Source organism: Homo sapiens, chromosome 7, assembly GCF_000001405.40.
Source record: "Homo sapiens chromosome 7, GRCh38.p14 Primary Assembly".
Lineage (NCBI taxonomy): Eukaryota > Metazoa > Chordata > Mammalia > Primates > Hominidae > Homo > Homo sapiens.
In genome coordinates, this window is record NC_000007.14 from 98,615,308 (window position 1) to 98,638,761 (window position 23,454).

Consider the following 23,454-nt stretch of genomic DNA (forward strand, 5'->3'; position numbering starts at 1 on the left):
GAACAAGCTTCTACTTCAAGTAGTTGCAAATATGAATGTATCAGTCTGTGTGTCAAGAAAGGATATATGGAACAATACAGGAACGATAATACTCTATTGTCACATCCAATTAAGGGCCACCTAGGTCTACAAGTAAAGAGGAACATCAAAGCTATGAGTGAAAATGGAAAAGTCACATCGTTATCTGAATAATTTTGAAAACGTCTGGATTTGGTGCCTTATGAATCATCTGAAATGTAACAAGGCATAAAGTGCTTTGCAACCCTGTTGCCTTCATTATTGTAATTTGTGCATATGTAGGTTTATTTGAACTTTTTCGAGTTTTCATCCAGCTGAAAAAGGATGTAGGAAGAATGAGTCCAGTCAAGGTCATACTTAACAAGGTGAAACTGACACCTCCTGGGGATGCAGGCTAACAGAAACATGAGCCCATTACTCACCCCAAATCTCCCATCCATACCTTTTTCTGCTAATGAATATTCTTACCTGAACCATCATTACTTCCATTGTCCTCTGCTTTGGATACCTTGCAGACCAGGTTCCTGTCTCTCATTTTTATCCACGAAGAGATTTTCAAGAATAGAACTTTTCTTATAATTTAGCAATAATGTCCTTGAAAACCCCACAACTATTTACATAATAGAAGCTATTGTTTGAAGTGCAAAGCAGGTCAGAATTTGGTTTCTAGAGATTAATCACTGCAGTCTAGTTTATATTATCATAATAATTTCATTTATTTTGGTACAATTTGCTTTCAGAATCAACCTCGGCTTCTGCGCACAAGTGACAAATCCATTTGTTTGTGGTATAATGGATAACGTGATTAATGACCTTGCAACAGGATTTCTTAAAAACATAGAGAGGAAAAGAAATAAAGATTTCCATTTATAAATGTGCAGTAAACCAGCTCAGTCTGTAGCTGTGCACCAAAATCCCTCTGAACTTGTTTTAAGCCACAGATTTGGAGAGATTCTGAAACAAATTTGCTCCTGACTTTTGGGGGTTTCTGCTCATATCTGCTGTCTCCAAGAAGCTGAGGGCAGTGGCCTCACTTCGAGGAAGTGGTGACACTGCGGGCCCTCCTGGTTACAAGGACCGGGCACTGTTGGACCACGTGGCTCCATCATGATGACTCCAGTTAGATGTCACCCCGCCCCTGAGCTCAGGTCTTGCTGAATAAGGTCACCGCCCAGGGGGCAGTCGATGAACACGCGCGCGAGGGCTCTGCGAGTGGCCTCGTGACTTTGTCCCTAACTCCGGGTGTCCCCTCCTTCCCATCAGCGTCCGGCGCCTGGTCCTGGTCCCGGTCCCCGAGGCCCCCGGGATTCTTCCCGAGCGTTTTCCGAGTTGGCGCGGGGGGTGGAGGCGGGGCCATGGAGCGCGTCCCGGGGACCGTTGCATCCGGAGGCGGCCGTCGTGCGGCTCCTTCCCGCCTCGAGAGTGAGGTGGCCGGGCCTTGACGAGAAGGCCCACGCCTGCCGCGGGGGTGGCTCGCGATGGCAGTCGGGGTTCGAGTCCCGCCTGGGGGGCTGCTCCTGCTGGAGAAAACGCCTCCCTGAGGGCGGCGGCAAACGCGCAGCGAGGCCCCGTGCCGCGCCAGAAGCCACCCTGAGAAAGGGGCACCGGGACACCGAGGGGTTCCCACTTTCTCCTCAGCCTGTGACGCCCGCGTCCTCGGGTGGGTTCGAGGGGCGCCTGGGCACGGCCAGCCGAGGCTCTCGAGAGCCCCAGTGTCGTTTTCCACCTCAGGCCTCCTTTCCTGAGGCAGAGCCCGGGACCTCGCGCTCTCGCCTCAGGCTCCGGCCCACGCTCCCGCCCGGCCGCCAGGCGCGCAACGGAAAGCGCCCCCGCCCCGCCCCGCTCCGCCCACTGCGTGACGCGCACCCGGCCGAGCCAATCAGAGCTCGTGGCGCGCGCCCCACACGCCGGCCCCCTCCGCCCCTCAGCTTAAGAAAGGGCGCGCGGACCCGGCAGGCCAGAGTGCCGAGCAGCGCGGTGGGTGCGGCTGTGAGACGGCAGGAGACTTCTGCCCCGCGGTGCACGCGACCCTCGAGACGACAGCGCGGCTACTGCCAGCAGCGAAGGCGCCTCCCGCGGAGCGCCCCGACGGCGCCCGCTCGCCCATGCCGAGCTGAGCGCGGCAGCGGCGGCGGGATGCTGGCGCTGCTGGCCGCCAGCGTGGCGCTCGCCGTGGCCGCTGGGGCCCAGGACAGCCCGGCGCCCGGTAGCCGCTTCGTGTGCACGGCACTGCCCCCAGAGGCGGTGCACGCCGGCTGCCCGCTGCCCGCGATGCCCATGCAGGGCGGCGCGCAGAGTCCCGAGGAGGAGCTGAGGGCCGCGGTGCTGCAGCTGCGCGAGACCGTCGTGCAGCAGAAGGAGACGCTGGGCGCGCAGCGCGAGGCCATCCGCGAGCTCACGGGCAAGCTAGCGCGCTGCGAGGGGCTGGCGGGCGGCAAGGCGCGCGGCGCGGGGGCCACGGGCAAGGACACTATGGGCGACCTGCCGCGGGACCCCGGCCACGTCGTGGAGCAGCTCAGCCGCTCGCTGCAGACCCTCAAGGACCGCCTGGAGAGCCTCGAGGTAGCGGCCCGCGGGGAGCGCGGGGGACCTGGAATGGGGACGCTCCCGAGTCGGGGGCGGAAGACTCGGGAGGATGGGGAAAGGGGGCCTGGCCCTGGGGAGGGTGTGATCGTCCGTGGGGGTGAGCTGGACTTGAGGGTGAAAGGCGGGGATCTAGATCCTGCTCGGGAACTCCCCTGCGTGGTATCCCTTCCCACACCGCTGCTCTTGCTGGAAGGAAACGTTTAAATTCCACCCCCGCGCGTCGGGACTGCCAGCGGGATCCGCCGAGCACTTCCCGAGGTCCGGGCTAGCGAACCCAGACGGCCAAGCCGCGGGCGCCAAATACCCGGGGACGCGGTAGCCTCTATCCTCTTGCAAATCTCCAAATCTCCGCGAGCCGGGATGCGCTCCCGCAGGCCGTGCGGGTTGCTGCGAGGCTGCCGCGGGAGGTCAGCTGCCCCGGGCATGTGGTGTTTCTTTCTTTAAATCAGGTCAGGCTGAGCTAGAGGGGGCGGAAGTCTGGGGGCGGAGGTCGCAGGGAGGCGAGCGCAGGGGGTCACCGGCGACCCCAGAGCGCGCATTAGAGGGGCAACCTCTGGTTAACTTCAAAGACTCCCGTGTCTGCAAGTTGGACCATTTTAAGGTGCTCTTCCGGATTGCTTCAGGGGAAGGGACCTCATTCCCTTCTCTCTCTCTCTCTCCCCCCCTCCCCCCCTCCCCCTCCGTCCCCCCCCCCCGCCCCCCGCTCCCGCCTCCGTCTCATCTCTATCTCTGAAAATGCGTGCAGTTTGGAACTTTGAGAGAAAAATCTTCAATTATTTTTCATCTTTAGGCTCCACCCTTTTTAAGAAGTGTGGACACTGCTGTTAATAGCCTTTGTGAAAATACTTCTCAGCAAAACTAGGTTTAAATTACAGGTGGTAATTATTGCAAAAATGACTCTAGGGTTTCTTTTGGCGTGAGGGCTGAATACAGTATTTCCAGCATCTGTATATCCCCTGATTCATTGTGATTGCTAACAGCTAACATTTCTGGAGCACTAAATATGAGTCAGGCACATCATTTAATTTTTTAATCCTTGGAACAATGAATGGCATGAGGCAGGTCCCATTATGTGCATTTCACAATTTGGAACACTTTGTGGAGAAAGGTAAATAGCTTGCCATGAACTCATGGGTAGGCAGCCTGCCACAGCCTCCAGAACCACATGATGGTAGGGGAGAAAGAGAAATAGGAAGTGAGGATTTAGAAACAGCATTAAAAACAAAGATTGCTGGAGTTCAGAATAGCAACGTTTTAGATCTGTCATTTTCCAGAAACATCTCTGCATGCATAGTTATTTACCTTGGTGCCAGACCGGAACTTGGGGGCTGTTTTCATTTCTAGGTGAAAGCTCCTTGGCTTTGTGTAACCATCGATTTACTCTTAAAAAAGAAAAAAAATCCTGGAGCTGAGTTTTGGTCTCTACCCAACATAGAATTCTAGGCGTTGGTTAGAATATTGACTTTTTAGTAAGAGGAGAAAAACGGCTTTTTGAGAAGGGAAAATTAGATTCACAAGTTTCAAATATTGCAGCAAAGTAATTCTTATCTGACTTTGAAATCTTTTCCATACCAAAAAAGCATCAGTGAGATGCTCCCCTGCCTGCCAGTGGCAAGATTCAGGGCTTGCGTTTTGGAAGCTTCTCCCTGTGTGGTCGGGCCATCACAGCCACATTTCACAATTTCTTTTTAACTCTTTCTGTGCCCCTCCCTCCTCCCCGGTGGCTGAAAGCACCAGCTCAGAGCAAACGTGTCCAATGCTGGGCTGCCCGGCGACTTCCGCGAGGTGCTCCAGCAGCGGCTGGGGGAGCTGGAGAGGCAGCTTCTGCGCAAGGTGGCAGAGCTGGAGGACGAGAAGTCCCTGCTGCACAATGAGACCTCGGCTCACCGGCAGAAGACCGAGAGCACCCTGAACGCGCTGCTGCAGAGGGTCACCGAGCTGGAGCGAGGTGTGTGCCTGGCCTGTTTCTCTGTCTGGCAGTGGCCTGATTTTCACCACTTGTGGTCAGACATGCGATTCTGGTTGATGGACAGCAGGGATTGTGACACCACATGGGCCTGGTTCCCGAGTGTGTGAGCAAATAATAAAGGCGACTGAACAAGGTCATCTCAGGAATGAGCTGCCAGCCCCACTGGCATTATCCAGGGAAAAGTGAAAGTGTCCAGGACCAGCTTCGATAAGCAACCACACGGGCGTTTCAGTCCTTTGTTAACTAGTCCTGGCAGCGGATTCTGTGTATCTTTCTCTTCTCTGCTCACACTGTGGTGAGTAAGTTTCTCCCACAGGAGACAGAGTGGGAGGGATCAGGGGATAATTCAGATTGCGTCATCAACCCCCAAACCACTGGGTGGCTTGGGTTTGAAGTTGTAGGTTTGCCCGTAGTGGGTGTTTATAAGACTGGAATTTTCCCAGATGCACTAAGCTGATGAAGCCACTTCCCCATGACTCCGTTTCATGCATTGATAGGAGGATGCCCAATAGCAGAACATCCAATGACTTTGGCCGAGGTGGGGCAGATGGAGAAGGGGCTGGTGTTACTGTTCCATTTTACAGCCAGCATCCACAAGCCACAGGTCTCTTTCATCCCTTTCCTAGTCTCTTCCTACAGAAAAACCTATCCTTTCTTCCTGGCCCTTCTCAGAAAAAGGTGAGTATGGCTTACCTGTTAGATCTGTTAGATTCTTGAGTTTCCAAAAAATCTTCCTTTCTGTCTCCCCTCTGTTGCTGGGTGGCCTCAGGAGCCATCCCTGAAGGTAAAGCAGCCGTTGCTGTGGCCCTCCTCCCATGACAGGAGGAGGGAACGTCTAGGCACAGGTGAGCGTGGCTCCGTGGACCCAGCCTGAGCCACAGTGGATCCTCGGGACACCCAGGGCTATGGAGTTGGCACACTAAAGGTAGTTTGCCTCTCGAAAGGGGAACTGTGGAACGAGAGGAGGGCTCCATGAGAGACCTTGGTGGCTGTAAACCTCCCTCTGCACAGTGGCCAAGTTGCCATGAGGAGGTGGGTAAATAGCAGAATAGTGAGCCAGAGCTTCAGTCATGCCAGGCGGGAGCTCAGACTCCTGGTATGCCCGTTTCATAGATGAGAAAAAGACTCCGTTCTCAGTGGGACATGTATCTTTTGGGGAGGGGGCCCAAAGTGGGTCCTGGGCCACTAGCTGGCAAACAGTGACAGTCACATCAACCTGCACCTCCTCCTTCTCTTTCTCTCACTCAAGGCCAATGTCATTTCACTGGGCTTACTCCTAAGGTAAGCCATCATCATGGCTTTGGCCACCCAGAAGCTGCCACTTTGTGACTGTCCCTTTCATCCCCAGCCTGTCCATTACCAGCCAGAAAGAAACAGTCAGGACTCAGACCCCGCCAGCCTGACTCCTGACCCTTTAGTTTCCCAGCAAGCCCTCAAAGCTCATCTGGCACAGAGGGGAAGCTCACCTCTACGAGGGCAAAGACGCTGCTGGCCATTTATGCACCCCAGAGAGGCAGCCCAGCCTCTCTTCATCCCACCGTGGGAACTCTAGAATCCTTCTGTGAGCTCCACCAACTCAGCTCTGGGATGTGCTTTAAGGAAAGTGATCATTTGCAGACCAGTTTGTCTTCTGGGCAATTCTGAGTGTCCTGTTTGTGACAATTGTAGAGAGATGAGTAAACGCCCAGCCCTCCACATGTACTATGATTGGAAACGATGCCAAGTTTCTTAGACACATCCAGCTGAACCCAGAGTAGCTAGACCTTAACCTCACTACAGGCAGGGGGCCTTGGTGGGGGAACTCTGGCCTTTGGTCTGTCAGCCTCCACCCCTTAGGGACCAGATGCTTGGCTGTGAGTTCCACACTTGGCATTCTGTAATCCCTGACATGACCTTGCAAGGTAGGGATTAGTTCAGACGAGGGACTCAAGTCAGAGAACTAAAGTGATGCCTGCATTCACATTGCCAGCAGATTGCAGAGCTGGGAGTGAAGTTGGTGGGGCCCCAGAGGAGTGATGGAGGCTGCAGCCTGGAGCGGTGTGTGGGCCCCAGCCCTGCTGCGTCGGAGGCTCCTTGGAGCCCCCAGCAAGCGCCTGACCCCTGGCATATGGATGCCCCTGCCACCCGGGGCCCAGGGTTGCTTGCTTTTCTTTGCTGCAAGACCTGTTCCTCTGCAAGGGCCTCCAGAGTCCAGGCCAGCTGTCCAGGCACTGCCCAGCTCAGTGTTGAAATAAATGTTGCTGCTGAGAAAACCAAAGCTGCCTCTCTTCCAGCCCCAGGCTGCCCACCCCCTGCTGAGCCTCTCCGCCACCTGCAGTGTCTGATTTATTGGTCAGGCCTTTTAATTCCTTAATTGGTTTTAACCAAGTTTCCTCCAAACCGCCAAGCTGTTTTATTTAAATAAAAGACACTGGCTCTCAGGGTACAGGCCCCCTCCTCTGCCCCTCGGCTCTTCCAGCTCTAATTAAACCTATCTGTTGTCACCAAGCTAACAATATTACCCACACGGAGTCGTATCAGATTGGCAAGGCTGCCCTCCCGCAAGTATAGCAGCCATTTCTCTTTATTAGACAATGATGCCTTCATTAAGGACATGGTCATTTGCCACTTGAAGATTAAGTGTGAGTGGCTAAGTGTCGTGGAAAGAGGGACTTCCGGCCCCTGGCCTGTCATTCACTAGCTGTGTGACCTTGGATACGTCACCTCACTTCGCTGAGCCTCCGAGCCTCAACTGTGCAACCTGCAAAAATGGGGGAGTAGGGACACTCTGGTTCTCTCTCTCAGTTTTGCTTTTCAGCCTAATGAGAGACTAGTCCCAGCCTTCACTCTGGCCTGGCCCCTTGACTTCTTCGGGGAGCAGGTCTTCCCAGCCCTCGCCAGGTGCCCAGCAGCTCTGCAGTGGCATCGAGAGGTGCCCATCCTTAGGAGGTCAGGAGCAATCGGGAGGCCACCATTGGCAGATATGAGTACATGCAACACGTGAAGCCCAGATTCTAGAATGTACACACTGCCTGTTCCAGAGAGGTTAGAAAGGGGATAGGGGGTTCTTCTGTGCCCCTTTGCAGAAACCCTCCTTAGATAGATGTGAACTGCGGCCCCCAAGAGCCTTTCGTGTGTATTATTCACTCTGAGGGACAATGAGTTTGGGGGATTGTGGTGGAGAAAGGTTTATCTATTCTGGCTCATGTTGTGCAGTAGGGACTGATTTAACTCCACAGTGACACAGGCAGTTCTGGCTCCAGAGAGCCCGCCTGTCTCTGATGGCCTCGGAGACTGTCTGAGCCCTTGTGGATGCTTAACCGACACTTGTTGAATGAGTGAAGGGCGTTTAGATTCCTTCAACGGCAGGGTCTGGTTCTCAAATAAGAGGGCCGCCTTTGCCATGACAGCTGGCACAATCAAATGGTGTCCTGCAAACTTTGGAATCCACGATGCCTGGACAAGGGCTGCCGCTGTGGTTTACTTAATTTTGAACTTCAACCAAGGCTGCCTTGGAAATATTGTAAACCCATTCTAGAGTTTGTTTTCAAGGATTTTAGAAGTGCCAATGACATAGGGGTGGCGGGTGGATTCTCACCAATTCCAGGAAGGTCTGGAAGGGCCAAGGCTGTGACCAGGTGTGTTCCCCTAAATGAGGAGAGACACCTGCGGTTGCCCTGCCTCCCACTGGCTCCAGACTACAGGAAATGATCAATAAACTCAGTCTTCTCTTGAGGAGGAAAAGAGCAAAGTGCTTTTTGTCAGGGATTTAGACCAAAAAGCCACTTTTGAGTTAAGTTATGGAGTCAAGACCCGGGAGCCTGACTGCTTCACCTCGGCAGTGGTAATTCTTTCATGTGAGGAGTGACACAGACTCATTCACTTGACAAGTGTTTATTGGGTGCCTGGGTCCCTGTAAGACTTCCTTCTTCTAAGCCCAAGTCTCCAGGGTTCCTAGATCCTGCGAAGATTTCAAGGAAATATCTGAAGTTATAAGATGTGGCTAAGGACGCAGTTTCTGGCTTAACACAAGAAAATTAAATCTACCTTTCTTCTGCTCCTTCCTCAAGCTTTCTAGTCACCTAATATGACTTATGAAAAGAGAGTATTAACTAGAAGGAACCAGACAGAGCCTCTGTCACCCAGGTGGGAGTGCAGTGATGCAATCATAGCTCACTGCAGCCTGGACCTCCTAGGCTCAAGCGATCCACCTCAGCCTCCTGAGTAGGTGGAACCACAGGTGTGTGCCACCCTACCCAGCTAATTTTTATATTTTTTGTAGAGATGAAGTCTTGCTGTATTGCCCAGGCTGTTCTTGAACTCCTGGGCTCAAGCAGTCTTCCCACCTCAGCCTCCCAAAGCACTGGGATTACAGGCATGAGCCACTGCACTTGGCTAATTTTTTAAATTTTTTGTAGAGACAGGGTCTTGCTATGTTGCACAGGCTGGTCTCGAACTCTTGGCCTCAAGCAATCCTCCTGCCTCGGCCTCCCAAAATGCTGGTATTATAGGTGTGAGCCACTGCACCCATCCAAGAGCTTTTTTTCTTCTAGATTTCAAGAGGCCTCTTTTCCTGTCCTAAAAGATGGAGCTAAATTCTCTAACGTGCCCCATGCAGTGCCCACAAAATCTTCCTTTTCTTTCCTTTTCTGGGCGTCCTTGGGGCCCTGTACTTGCTGTCACCTGTGTCTGGGGTTCTCTTCTGCAGGTCTTTCCAGGCCTTCCCTGCATCCTCTGCCTTCCCTCCCCCGGCCACTCCCCGTCTTAGCAGGAGCCACTGCCTGGACTTCCCTCGCGTACCTGCTGCTGGTTTCATGTCACCTTCCCTGCCTGAATGTAAGCTCCCTAAGGACAAGGACTCCATCTTGTGTCCTGAATCCTGCCAGACTTCAGCCTTTTATCAGTGGCTGGTGTGGAGCGGTCTTTGGTCGCTTGCTGGAGGGTCCATCAAGGCTGTGTGAGGGACCTTCTTGTGGGTCTAGCAAGATGTGGCTCTGGGCCGTGCTGGTGGGTGGTGGGGTGGCCTAACGCACTCCTGGCCTCTCTTCCTCCCAACCCCCAGGCAATAGCGCCTTTAAGTCACCAGATGCGTTCAAGGTGTCCCTCCCACTCCGCACAAACTACCTATACGGCAAGATCAAGAAGACGCTGCCTGAGCTGTACGCCTTCACCATCTGCCTGTGGCTGCGGTCCAGCGCCTCACCAGGCATTGGCACCCCCTTCTCCTATGCGGTGCCAGGGCAGGCCAACGAGATCGTGCTGATCGAGTGGGGCAACAACCCCATCGAGCTGCTCATCAACGACAAGGTGAGGCCCGCCTGCACCGCCACCCTCCCCAGAACCCATCATGTGGTGGAGGGAGCCACAGCCCCCACCCCAGCCGTCCTCGCCCTCCTCGGGCCACACAGCAGTGTCCCAGACATGGGACTGCGGGGCTGTCCTCCTCGAGGTGGGGATAGCTTTGCACACGCCGGGCGGCTCACAGGGGCGGGGTGGGGAGGGGCCGAGCTGTGAGTCCAACCACCAAGCTGCAGAAGGTCCAGGCACCTAGGCCATGGAAGGGCAGAAGGAACAGATCTCCGTGTGCAGCCTGGATTGAGAGAGGACCTCAGGCCGGTCAGTGAGGGCTGTTCCCCAGGGCCACACTGATTAAGGGGGTGTGTGTGTCTCAGTGTAAGAGACTCCCCACAAGCATATTTTGGTGGGGGTCAGGTTTCTAGAGATATAATTTACATACAGCAAAGTGTACCCATTTTAATGTACAATTCAGGAAGTTTTAACAAATGCACACAGTTGTGTAACCACCACCACGATGAAAAAATATAAAACAGTTCCATCACCCCCCAAAACCCCCTCATACCCCTTCATAGTTAACTCTGATCCCAGCCCCAGCCCATGGCCATTGCTGACCTGTTATGTATACCCATGGTCTTGCCTTTTCCAGAGCAAATGCCCCTTCTTAATAGACTGCTTGGTTTTGGCATTCAGGAGTGGTCTTCTCAAGGGCTGGGCATGGTAGCTCATGCCTGTAATCCCAGTGTGTTGGGAGGCCGAGGCAGGAGGATTGCTTGAGCCCAGGAGTTCAAGAGCAGCCTGGGCAACATAGCAAGACCCCTTCTCTACAAAAAATTAGAAAGTTAGCTAGGTGTGGTGGTGTGCACCTGTAGTTCCAGCTACTCGGGAGGCTGAGGCAGGAAGATGGCTTTGAGCCCAGGATGTCGAGGCTGCAATGAACTATGATCGCACCACTGTACTCCAGCCTGGGTGACAGAGCGATACCCTGTCTCAAAAAAAAAAAAAAAAAAAAAAAGGCCACTTTGGGCCTCCTGGGGACCTCTCACAGCCCTGCTTCCAAACTTTCATTCTAATGGCAGACTCCATATAACAAAAAGAACATTCTCAGAACCTGTCCGGATTTGGGCATTTGAGTGGCTACGCAAACTCCCTGCCACCCGGGCCACCCCTGGTGGAGGCGGGGGCAGTTCAGCCCCTCACTCTGTTTGTCCTCACTGAACTGCCCTGGGTGGAGTCTGTCGAGGTTTAAAAAACGCTGTGGCATCAGCCTGCTGGGCTCCTCCTAGATAGACCCCCTTGCCTGAGCCAGGGGTTAAATAATTGTTCTAAATAACACCCTATGACACAGTGGGGCTAAGAGCCTTGTTGTCCTCTGGGTTTGGACGGCTTGTAAACATCGAATTCCTGGGAGGGAGGCTTCGGGTTGCTAGGAGACCAGCAGCAACAACGCGGTGGTTCATAGGCGAGCCTGCATAGAAAGTGCTTGCAGGACCGCCAGGGACCCGGCCAGTGGCAGCGTCCTCCCCCCAGTTCCTCACGCTGTCCGTGAGTTCCCTGCTCACACAGATACTCACACACGTGCCGCTGCGCAGGGAGGACGGGGCACACCCGCAGCACACAGATCCCTGCGTGCCATCATGGAGGTTTGGGACTTGGCATGAGGAATGAGGATCTCTCGTCTGTTTTCCAAGGAGACTGGCCCCATGGAACGCTGACTTCCCGAGTTTCTCTGGCATGGAGAGCTCAGGGCCAGCGTGGGGGTGTTGACCCTCACATCTGTTCGGTCCTCAGCCACGCCAGGCACCAAGGGTGTCCCATTAATGTGAGGGCTGCTCTGGGGTCAGGGTTTCCACCAAGGCTGCCCCCTTGCATGTTCTCCACGCATGACCCCGGTGACAGGAGGAGCAGTGTGGCCCAGGGGGACTGTGGGGTGTCCTTCCTGCTTCCTGCCCTGGGGGACCCTGAGGGCGTGGGCCCAGCAGGTCCTTACCTGCACATTGCTGCTCACAGGTTGCGCAGCTGCCCCTGTTTGTCAGTGACGGCAAGTGGCACCACATCTGTGTCACCTGGACGACACGGGATGGCATGTGGGAGGCATTCCAGGACGGAGAGAAGCTGGGCACTGGGGAGAACCTGGCCCCCTGGCACCCCATCAAGCCCGGGGGCGTGCTGATCCTTGGACAAGAGCAGGTGGGTGCAGGGCAGGTGCAGGTGGGCACAGGGTGGGTGCAGGATGGGCACAGGGTGGCCGTGCGCCCTTTCAGGGATGGTGCGAGGAGGGGCCAACTGAGCAGCACGAGGCCAGGCCTGCAGCTGTTCCTGCTCCCGGCCCCAGCTGTTGGCCCCTCAGACCTGGCCACAGTGTCCTGACAGCCAGGTCGGGGGAGTGAGAACCCCCGCAGCCTGGCCCTTGCTGTCCTGTGGTTAGAGGTTGGGCGTGGGGTCACGGCCTGCATGGCAGGGACCAGGTGGGTGTGTGGTTCAAACAGATTCCAAATAGAACCTGGCACAGAGGGGTGTGAGTGTCCCTGTGGTCATGGGTCATCTCGTGACACAGGCTCCAGCTTCCATCTGGGAGGAGGCTGTGTGAGGGACCCTCCTGGGATGCTCATGGTACCAACTCAGGATTGTGGGGCTGGTGTCTTCCAGGAGCCCCCTGCTCAGGGTCTTAACCCTGATACCCAGCAAGGGGCACTTAGGTAATCCATAGTGGGTGCTCAGCCTGTGGGGGAGACAGGGATGAAAGGGTGGCACCTCAAAGTGCCCTCAAGAAACTTACCATCTAGGGGAGGGAATGGCTAAGTTGGCTGTCTGGTCTAGGACAGATAAGTGTTGGCATTCCAGTCTGTATTTGGGTTTTTGATGATGGACAGTGGGGCGTAGACTCCAGGTGCACTGGGGGGCTTTGAGTCTGGTTCCTTCTTGGCCCACTCCTCCCTCAATTTCCCCTGCTACATCTCCGCTGGGAGGGGCTGGGAGTCATGAGACCTGGCTCTGATCCTGGCTTTGGGACTTTGAGCAGTGTCTTCCCTTACCAGCCTCAGTTTCCCCTGTATAAAATGGGGAGATTTGAGCGATGCCACCTCCCAGTTCTGACATGCCTGGGAGCTTCAGAACCTACAGAAACAGGTAGTGTTGGTCAGAGCTGGGGGGCATCAGAGAAATGCCCAAATCTCCTGTCTGCAGCCCGTGTGCAGGGGGACTTGTGAACCAGCCCTGACGCAGCTCTCTTGTTCCCATTCCCCAGGACACCGTGGGGGGTAGGTTTGATGCCACTCAGGCATTTGTCGGGGAGCTCAGCCAGTTCAACATATGGGACCGCGTCCTTCGCGCACAAGAAATTGTCAACATCGCCAACTGCTCCACAAACATGCCGGGCAACATCATCCCGTGGGTGGACAATAACGTCGATGTGTTCGGAGGGGCCTCCAAGTGGCCCGTGGAGACGTGTGAGGAGCGTCTCCTTGACTTGTAGCCGCCTTCTCCTCTGTCCAGGAGGCCGGGATCAGGCTGTTGCCATGGAAGTTCAGGGCCATAGACTGCCCCACTTAAACTCTTGTCAGTCTGGGCTCAGGGTTCCCAGAGCTCATTCCCCAGGAATCTCTAAGACCAGGGCTGGGGCAGTGTCTGTCACTGGCTTGTTTGTTCCCTACCAATATTCTGTTGCTGTTTGAAGTAGTGCCAGGGTCCCCTGGGAAGATGCCCCCAAGACACCTGCCCCAAGTGGGTGGATATCTGCCTTCCTGCTGCAAGTGGAGGCAGGTCCAGCAGCCCCTCTTCAGAGCCCCTGTAAATGCTATCGCAGCCTGAGTCCTGCCGCCTTCCAGTTCCTTGGTGTCCCGTGCACCCCTTCTGTCTGTCCCCTTTCATGGCTGTGCAGCCGTCCCGCTGGAGTGGCCATGTCCCTTGTGCATTGAGTGCATCCCCGCTGGTGACTAAGCTCGCAGCAAGCGGCTACCCCCCGATCTGCAAAAGGGCCTCTCCCTTTGTGTTCTATACATTGTGAATCTTCCCGTCTGAAGAACGCCCAGCCTGCCCAGACAAAGCCCCGCCTTCCCCAAAGCAGAGGGGCTGTCTGTGTCTCCAGAAAGGGGACATCGGGGGGGAGGGGGGCTCAGAAAGGAGAAGGGCTGTGATCTCCGGTCCCTTCCCCCATCATCCTTCCTTAGACTGATGCTTTGACTGAATCATCACTAGCTATGGCATTAAAAGGCCTCTCTTCTCATCTGGTGCCAAAGGTTCCGTTGCAGCTTTTTACAACCATCCGGTGTGGTTTGGAGGATTTGTTTTTTTTTTTTCCCAACAGAAAAGAACAGCCATTAGAAGAAGGCTCCCATTTTCTGATGTTCCGCCCCACTGTGAAGAGTGTGCTCGTTTTAAATTCATGTTGATTCTTGTAAGCACTGGACTGTCTTCATCAAGTATTTCCCTACAGAACTCCTCAAGAAAACAGAGATCATTTGGCTAGAGATTGTCTGAGTGACTCCAAGCTACTCACTGTATTGGACGGGAGTAGTAATTTATTTTAAAGATAAAGTGACTAAGTGGGGAAATTTATAAAGCTAAATATTATATATTTTATTTTTCATACATGTTTGAAGTGCAAATCTGTGGATATTCCATTTGTAGGACCAAGTCGACATGCCCATCCTGACATTGTATGCTACGAGAACTCTTCTGATGATGGAATTTCGATTAAAGTGCACTGAAAGATGCTTCTGTGTTTGTCTTCCTCATGTTCTGGGGCTGAAGGTGGGAAGGGGTAGGGCTTTGCAACTTCTGGCAGAAGGATGATGTCTCTGGTTTGCCGCAGCCTGCTTCTGGTGGGTTTGGGGGCGCTGAGGATGGTTAGAGGAGGGTGTGGTCCAGCTGTCCATCCTTCCTATTTCAATGCCTGGCTCAGGCTGTGGGTGCCTGGCAGGCTCTGCCCAGGCTCCTTGTCCCCAGCTCACCCCTGTCTTCTCAACCAGGAGAGCCAGCTTAGCTAGAAGACCTGCGGCCGCCTTCCAGGTGTGGTACCTGCTTAGCGTCTACTCTGTGTAGGTGTTCTTTAGACATCTCATTGAATCCTCCCTGAATGAGCTAATCCCATTTTACAGGTGAATACACAACAATTAAAGCTATTTTGGGATCATGCAGCCGATAGAGGATAGAGCTGGGCTCAAAGCCGTCCTGTGGCTCTGAGGGCTCTGTCCCTTCCACTGCTCACTCCAAGGGGCCCAGTGCCATTGTGTCCTCCCAGATCCGCCTCTCTGTGCTCACCTGGCCCTGGCTGGTGCGTTGATGGTCTCACAAGCATTAGATCCCCCCCACCGCCCACCACCACCACCTCTTTCCACTTTTGTCGTTTTACTCTGTCTTGGTAGCTGCAGAATGTAACTTAGTTTGTCCCTTTTCCAAGTAGCAATGTCAATTTCTATTATAATTGCGGCCTTTTCCAAGTAGCAATGTCAATTTCTATTATAATTGCGGAGCAGAGCCTAATCTTGGAGCCAACTGACAACTTATGCCAGATGTACTTGATACCAAGGCTGAAATGGAAGCCATAACCTCTAAAACCAAGACCGGCAGGTCACAGAGGTTCCTGGAGTCCATTTTTGATGTTGTGAAGTATAACTTGGCAAGAACTAAATACCACTGGTGTTGGGTAGAACATGAAATGAGGCCAGATATCCTGCTCAGGGACCTTTGAAACTCAAAAGTGCTGAGACCAGGCGGAGAGCAGTTTGTTTTGAATCTCCTTCATGCTGGAAACACCAGCTACTCAGATCTCCCCCTGAAAGGTGCTGAGGGGTTTCCTCACTTCATATGCATGCCAGGTGCTGAGCCAGCCCAACTTTTTTCCCAGGCACTGCCTCCCACAAGAGCATCGCTTTGCATCAGGGCTTTGGAAACGCTGCTGAGCCAGATAACTTCCTCCCTGCAACTGGAAGAGCTTTGAGCCCACAACATGGGATCAAACTGCTCCTTGCTGATCTGACCTGAAGATGAGAGAACCACCTCTCCATATCATAGCCGCACACCAGTCCTCCTGTTGGCAGTTTGGTCCTCCTGACATACAAGCAGAAACAAGAATCATTTATGCAATCCAGCAAGTTCCTTATGCCTTGATCCTCCCATGTGAAGGAGACCTGTGGCCTCAGTTTCCCCCACTCAAGACTCTTTTTGTATGTTTGTTTGAGACGGAGTCTCGCTCTGTCGCCCAGGCTGGAGTGCAGTGGTGCGATCTCGGCTCACTGCAACCTCCACCTCCCAGGTTCACGCCATTCTCCTGCCTCAGCCTCCCGAGTAGCTGGGACTACAGGTGCCCGCCACCACGCCCAACTAATTTTTTGTATTTTTAGTAGAGATGGGGTTTCACCATGTTAGCCAGGATGGTCTCGATCTCCTGACCTTGTGATCCGTCCATCTCGGCCTCCCAAAGTGCTGAGATTACAGGCGTGAGCCACTGCGCCCAGCCTCAAGACTTATTTTTTGTACAAGGCTGGAAAGATACTGATAGCAAACTGGGTTCTCCAAGAAGGGTGGGGTAGAGATTGTCCTGGATGATGGAATATTCAGGTTGCTTAAGGGTTGTCATGGAAACGGTAGCCAAATGATCAATGATTAATGAATTGAAAAGTAATAAAATGCAGCTAAATCAAAGGCAGGCTGGGACCAGGTCTCCACCAATAGGAAAGGCAGACCAAGATCCTGCCCAGCCTCTGGGGGCTTTGACATCAGCTCTCCTTATACAGAAGCTCTCAGAAAGAAAAGATGACTTCCTTTTGAGCACAGATGTTATCATTTATTCTGTCAACAAATATCTGGCGCACCTACTTTGTGTCAGCAACTATTCCAGGCACTCGAGATGTAATGGTGAGCAACATAGCAAAGTTCTCCTTTTAAATGGAGATTAATTTCAGTGGGAAGTGTAGATAGAAGGCAAATATATAAACAAGAAAAATGCTGGTGATGTGTTAGGGAGTCACTGGGGAACTACTTTCTGGGGTCACCTTTAAGCTGGGACCTAAATGAAGAGAGGGAACCAATCTTGGGTGGAACCTCACAGACAGAGGGAACAGGAAGTGTGAAGGCCCTAAGGTAGAGCTGAGCTTGGATGTTCAAGAGAAGAAATAGCCAGGTTGGCTGCATTCACAGGAGAGGAGAGGAGTGGATGGGATGAAGAGATTGTAGGATCAGATGACAAAGAGCCTGTGTTGAGATCTCAATGAAATGGGAAGCCTGGAGGTTTTAAGGAGAGGAGTGTGATAATGTGATTAATATTGTAAGCCCACTACTCTTCCTGGTGGATGGAGAATAAACTGTAGAGCATTGTAAAGGGAAATAGAGAAGACTCGTGAGGAGGTTACTGTACTAGTCCAGGTAAGAGGTCATGATGGCTTGGACTAGGGAAGTAGCAGAGGAGACAGAAAAAAAGTGGAAGAATTTAGGATATACTTAGAAGTAGTCATCCTGACTTGTTGATATTTGGAATTTGGGGAGAGAAATAAAATACAATTTTTAAAAACCTAAACTCCAAGTAGGATAAACTGAGAGAGATTCACACCCAGAAATATTACAAACTGTTGAAAACCAAGTAAAGACAGACAATTTTGAAAGCAGCAAGAGAGAAGAGATTCAAGATGTACAAGGAATCCTCAATAAAATTTATAGCTGAATTCTCGTCAGAATCTATGGATGCCAGAAGGCAGAGAGATGACACATTCAAAGTGCTGAAAGAAAAAGACTGTCAACCAAGAATCCTATATTTGACAAAGCTATCCTTCAAAAATGAAGGCAAAATTAAGACATTCCAAATAAACAAAAACTGACAATTTAACACTAGTAGATCCGCTCTACAAAAAAATACCAACGGGAGTCCTTCAGGCCAAAGCGAAAGGATACTAGACGGTAACTCAAATCTACTTGAAAAAATAAAGAGCACTGTTAGAGGTAGCTATATATGTAATTATAAAAGTGTAAGTGTATTTTTTTGTTTATAACTCTTTCCTTCTTTTATCTGATTTAAAAGACAACTGTAAGCTGGGCGTGGTGGCTCACGCCTGTAATCCCAACACTTTGGGAGGCCGAGGTGGACATATCACGAGGTTAGGAATTCAAGACCAGCCTGACCAACATGGGGAAACCCTGTCTCTACTAAAAAACACAAAAATTAGCCAGATGTGGTGGCGCACGCCTATAATCCCAGCTACTTGGGAGGCTGAGGCAGGAGAATTGGTTGAGTCCAGGAGGCAGAGGTTGCAGTGAGCCGAGATCGCCGAGATCACGCCACTGCACTCCAGCCTGGGTGACAGAGTGAGATTCCATCTCAAAAAAAAAAAAAAAAAGACAACTGCATAAAGCAATAATTATAAATTTGCATTGATGGGCATAAATGTATAAAGACGCAATTTGTACAACAATAACAGAACAAAAAAGTGGAGAGGGGATGGAGCTATGTAAAAACAAATTTTTTGTTACTATTATAATGAAGTTGGTGTTAATCTAGATTCAATCATTATAAATTAAGATGTTAATTGTACCTCAGGCAACTACTAAGAAAAGAACTTGAAAGAATGTATTAAAAGAAACAAGGGAATTAAAATACTACACCACAAAATGCTCATTTAACATGAAAGAAGGCAGTAATGGGAAATAAGGGAACACAAAACACATTAATTAGACAAATAAAAAATAGCAAAATAGCAGATATAGACCCTACTTTTATCAGTAATCACATTAAATGTAAAGGTATTAAACACTCCAATTAAAAGGCAGAACAGGGTTTCACCACTTTTGGCCAAGCTGGTCTCTAACTCCTGACCTCAGGTGGTCCGCCCACCTCGGCCTCCCAAAGTGCTGGGATTACAGGCCTGAGCCACCACATCTGGCTTTAAACAACAAACTCTTAAATAACCAATGGGTGAAAGAAGAAATCACAAGGGAAATCAGAAAACTTAGAGAGAAATGAAAATGAAAACACAACATACCAAAACTTATGGAACATAGCAAAAGCAGTGCTAAGAGGGAAATGTATAGCTATAAATGCTTACATTAAAAAGAAGAAAGATCTCAAATCAGCAGCCTAAATTTAGAACGTAAAGAACTAGAAAAAGAACAAACTAAACCCAGTGCTAGCAGAAGGAAGAGAATAATAAAGATTAGAGTAAAGGTAAATCAAATAGAAAATAGAAAAACAATAGAGGAAAACACCAAAACTGAAAATTGGTTCTTTGAAAACATTTAACAAAATTGGCAAACTTTTGGCTAGACTGACCAAGAAAAAAGACACAACCTGGCTGGGCATGGTGGCTCACACCTGTAATCCCAGCACTTTGAGAGGCCAGGGTGGGCGGATCACTTGAGGTCGGGAGTTCAAGACCAGCCTGTCCAACATGGCAAAACCCCATCTCTACTAAAATTACAAAAATTAGCCGGGCGTGATGGTGCGTGCCTATAATCCCAGCTACTTGGGAGGCTGAGGCAGGAGGATCATTTGAACCCAGGAGGTGGAGGTTGCGGTGAGCCAAGATCACGCCACTGCACTCCAACCTGGGCAACAGAGTAAGACTCCATCTGAAAAAAAAAAAAAAAAAGAACAGGAATAAGCCAGATATTGCTATTCTCATCACCTCTATTTATTACTGCATTGGAGGTTTTAGTCAAGGAACTTAGGCAAGAAAATAAAATAAAATGCACCCAGATTGTAAGGAAGAAGTAAAACATATAAAACATATACTTCTTGTCATATAAAAGTAAAGGAAGTAAAACTATCTTCTTTATAAGATCATAAGGAATCCACGAAAAAACTTACTAGAGCTAATAAATAAGTTTATCAAGGATGCAGAAAATAAGAGCAATATGCCAAAAATCTACTGTATTTCTCCTGTATACGTGATCAATGAACAATCTAAAATTAACCTAAGAAAGCATTTCTATTTGCAACAGTGTCAAAAATTCAAATACCTAGGAATGCATTTATTTATTTATTTATATTTGAGACAGGATCTCACTCTATTGCCCAGGCTAGGGTGCAGTGGTGTGATCATAGCTCACCGAAACCTCGACCTCTTGGGCTCAAGCAATCCTCCTGCCTCAGCCTCCTGAGTAGCTGCGACTACAGGTTTGCACTGCCATGCCTGGCTAACTTTTAAAAATTTTTTTGTAGAGATGGGGTCTTTTTATGTTTCCCAGGCTGGTCTTGAACTCCTGGGTTCCAGCAATCCTCCTGCCTTGGCCTCCCAAAGTGCTAGGATTACAGGAATGAGCCACCACACCCAGTCAGGAATAGATTTAATAAAATTAGGGAAAGATTTGTACTCTGAAAGCCATAAAGCATTATTAAAAAGAATTAAAGGCCTAAATAAATGAAAAGTTATCCATGTTTATTTATTGGAAGACTTAATATTAAGACTGCTGGTGTGCAGCCTGACCACCAGCAGTGGTGAAACCCCATCTCTACTAAAAAATACAAAAATTAGCCAGGCGTGGTGGCATGCACCTGTAATTCCTGCTACTGGGGAGGCTGTGGCATGATAATTGCTTGAACCCGGGAGGTGAAGGTTGTGGTGAGCCGAGATTGCACCACTGCACTCCAGCCTGGGCAACAGAACAAGACTCTGTCTCAAAGAAAAAAAAAAAAAAAAAAAAAGACTGCTGCTGTGAACATTCAGTGGATAAAAAAAAATGTGTTCAGATGTTGAGTCTGATGACTGCACATATACACACACCAAGAGAGTGCGAAAAAGCTGATTATTCACTGTGATGGTTAATATTGAGTGTCAACTTGATTGGATTGAAGGATGCAAAGTATTGTTCCTGGGTTTATCTGTGAGGGTGTTGCCAAAGGAAATTAACATTTAAGTCGGTGAACTGGGAGAGGCAGACCCACTCTCATTCTGGGTGGACGCTATTTAATCAGCTGCCAGCTCAGCTAGGATAAAAGCAGGCAGAAGAACGTGGAAGGACTAGACTGCCTGAGTCTACTGGCCTCCATCTTTCTCCTGTGCTGGCTGCTTCTTGCCCTCGAACATCGGACTCCAAGTTCTCCAGCTTTTGGACTCTTGGACCTACACCAGTGGTTTGCCAGGGGCTCTCGAGTCTTTGGCCACAGACTAAAAGCTGCACTGCCAGTTTCCCTACTTTTGAGGTTTTGGGACTCAGACTGGCTTCCTTGTTCCTCAGTTTGCAGGCAGCCTATGGTGGGACTTCTCCTTGTGATTGTGTAAGTCAATACTCCTTAATAAACTCCCCTTCTATCCTGTGAGTCCTGTTCCTCTAGAGAACCCCGACTAATACACTCACGTAATGAGGATTTCTGAATAGAGCAGGTGGGTCCCAGGAAGGTCCAAAAATGGCTTGAGAGAGCAGGAAAAGAAGTCTGGTTTGGGTTTCTTATGGTAGTTAGGGGACAGGGCCAGAGTGGTGTGAATATGCTGAAAGCCACTGAATTAAACATTTTAAAAGTAAGGTGAATTTGATGGTGTGTAAATTATATCTCAGGTTTTGTTGTTGTTGTTTGTTTTTAAAGACAGACTCTCATTCTGATACCCAGGCTGTAGTGCAGGGATGTGATCAAAGCTCACTGCAGCCTTGAACTCCTGGGCTCAAGGGATCCTTCCACCTCAACCTCCTGAGTAGCTGGGACTACACATGTGCACCACCACTCCTGGCTAAGTTTTAAAATTTTTTGTAGAGACAGGTCTCTGCCCTGTTGTCCAGGCTGGTCTCGAACTTCTGACCTCAAATTATCTTCCTGCCTGGGCCTCCCAAAGCACTAGGATTACAGGCATGGGCCACTGGACACAGTCTCATTTTTTAAAACAAGGTTTTGGACCAGGTGGGTAGATGCCATTTACTGATGGGGAGTTGGAGTGGGGGCAAAAAGCAGGTTTTGGGATGGGGGAAAATAAAGAGTTCTTTTTTGGACTTAAGTGTGAGAACGTATTTTAGTGTAACTGTCAAGTGGGTAATTGGATTTGGGAAGAGGTCAGGGCTGGAGATAAAAAATGGGTTATGCTGGGCATAGTGACTCACATCTATAATCCTAGTGCTTTGGGAGGTCAAGGCAGGAGAATCTCTTGAGGCCAGGAGTTCAAGACCAACCTGGGCAACATTTCAAGACCCTGTCTCTACAAAAATACAAAAATTAGCTAGGCATGGTGATGCGTGCCTGTAGTCCAGCTACTCAGGAGGCTGAGGCGGGAGGATCACTTGACCCAGGGGGTCAAGGCTGCAGTGAGCTGTGATTACACCACTGCACTCCAGCCTGGATAACAGAGCAAGACTCTGTGTCTAAAACGAATAAAAGATAAATTTTTGAAAATTGGATTAAAAACATAGTCCTTGCTTCTAGGTACTCCCAGCCTCACTACTGTTTGAAAGTAAATGTACAGAAACAGATATGTTCATCCTTACTTAGACCATTGACTCCTCACTGGTAGGAAGCATATTCATGCATAAGCCAATTTAACTCAACATGCATTATCCTACTGTGTGTAGTGTCTACATGAATGAGACATGGTCTTCACTTCACAGTCTAGTATGAGAGACAGAATGGAGCCAATTAAGCAAATTGCTATATCAGAAAGCCTTCACCTGGCTAAGGCTGAGGGAGGGGCAGTTTCCATAGTGACTTCTTTAATCATCCATAGCTCTACCTTCAGCTACACACCGAACCAGTCAAGAAGAGTTGTTGACCTCAGCCTTGGTGGCTCACAGAGCAGCTGGATGACTCTGTAAGGGGTTGGTATTGAGCAGTCACACAGAAGCAATTTGATTGTTCCTGGGAATTTCAACATGGTAAGAAGCTTGTCAAGGCTGGGATTGTGCAGGTTGGGTTATATGACTTTGGCCTTGACGAACGGCGAGCTTCCCATTGTTTTCTCAAAGAAGCACAAAACAAATTTACCAAGTTGTTTTACTTTTCTCTACAAAGCGATTCTGCTCTCTGTAGTTGTCAGTGCAAATATTCACAGGCACATTTTAAAACCCTGTTCAAGCAGAGATAAATCACAGAAGACTACAGCTGGGGGGCGGGATGACATTTCCTTGTCACTCATCATCATACACAAGCGATCATGCCCTTCGGGAATAATATGGTCAACCCTGGCTTTCTGTGCTTAAGAGGGCAGCATAGATCATGGAGAGTCTGTGTCTCAGCTGAAGACTCAGATCTTGCAAGAAATATCACACCTATTTATCATCTTTAAAGTATAGTTTATTACGAGACATCATAGATACAATAGACCAAGTATATGCATATGCACAGTAGAAAGAATAATCATAAATGAATATTTGTGTACCAATGACTCAGTTTAAGAAATATTTAGTTAATGCCTATTTTATACCAGGTACTTTGCTGGGAACTTTGTTGAAATCAATGAACAAAAAAGAAAAAGACTCCTCACCTTGTGGATCTAACATTCTGGAGGAAGGAGAATGATGATAAATACTAGACAGATGAGTAAGTAAATTATATAATTTGTTAGAAGATGACAAGTGCTCCGGGAAAGGGGGAATGGAAATGTGGTTGTCGGGGGTTCACAATTTAAGGTAGGGCAATGGAGGAGGCCTCTTTGAGAAGATGACATTTGATCCAAGACTTGACGGAGATGAGAGAATTG

The 23,454-nt window shown here is 50.2% G+C and overlaps 1 protein-coding gene across 1 annotated transcript, besides 3 other annotated features; it reads left to right on the forward strand.

Moving 5' to 3' along the window:
• Positions 1,978-14,562, forward strand: NPTX2 (neuronal pentraxin 2). The gene is made up of 5 exons (NM_002523.3): positions 1,978-2,580; positions 4,336-4,552; positions 9,615-9,859; positions 11,858-12,037; positions 13,095-14,562. The coding sequence occupies exons 1-5, from the start codon at positions 2,155-2,157 to the stop codon at positions 13,320-13,322; spliced, it is 1,296 nt and encodes a 431-aa protein (NP_002514.1). The 5' UTR covers positions 1,978-2,154; the 3' UTR covers positions 13,323-14,562.
• Positions 2,806-3,432: an enhancer, noted in NCBI's record as "H3K4me1 hESC enhancer chr7:98247425-98248051 (GRCh37/hg19 assembly coordinates)". NCBI's record gives its function as "activates a minimal SCP1, AML or CMV promoter by ChIP-STARR-seq in naive H9 embryonic stem cells {active_cell/tissue: H9 hESC(naive)}" and the evidence as "EXISTENCE:reporter gene assay evidence [ECO:0000049][PMID:30033119]".
• Positions 11,029-11,535: an enhancer, noted in NCBI's record as "H3K4me1 hESC enhancer chr7:98255648-98256154 (GRCh37/hg19 assembly coordinates)". NCBI's record gives its function as "activates a minimal SCP1, AML or CMV promoter by ChIP-STARR-seq in naive H9 embryonic stem cells {active_cell/tissue: H9 hESC(naive)}" and the evidence as "EXISTENCE:reporter gene assay evidence [ECO:0000049][PMID:30033119]".
• Positions 13,624-14,237: an enhancer, noted in NCBI's record as "H3K4me1 hESC enhancer chr7:98258243-98258856 (GRCh37/hg19 assembly coordinates)". NCBI's record gives its function as "activates a minimal SCP1, AML or CMV promoter by ChIP-STARR-seq in primed H9 embryonic stem cells {active_cell/tissue: H9 hESC(primed)}" and the evidence as "EXISTENCE:reporter gene assay evidence [ECO:0000049][PMID:30033119]".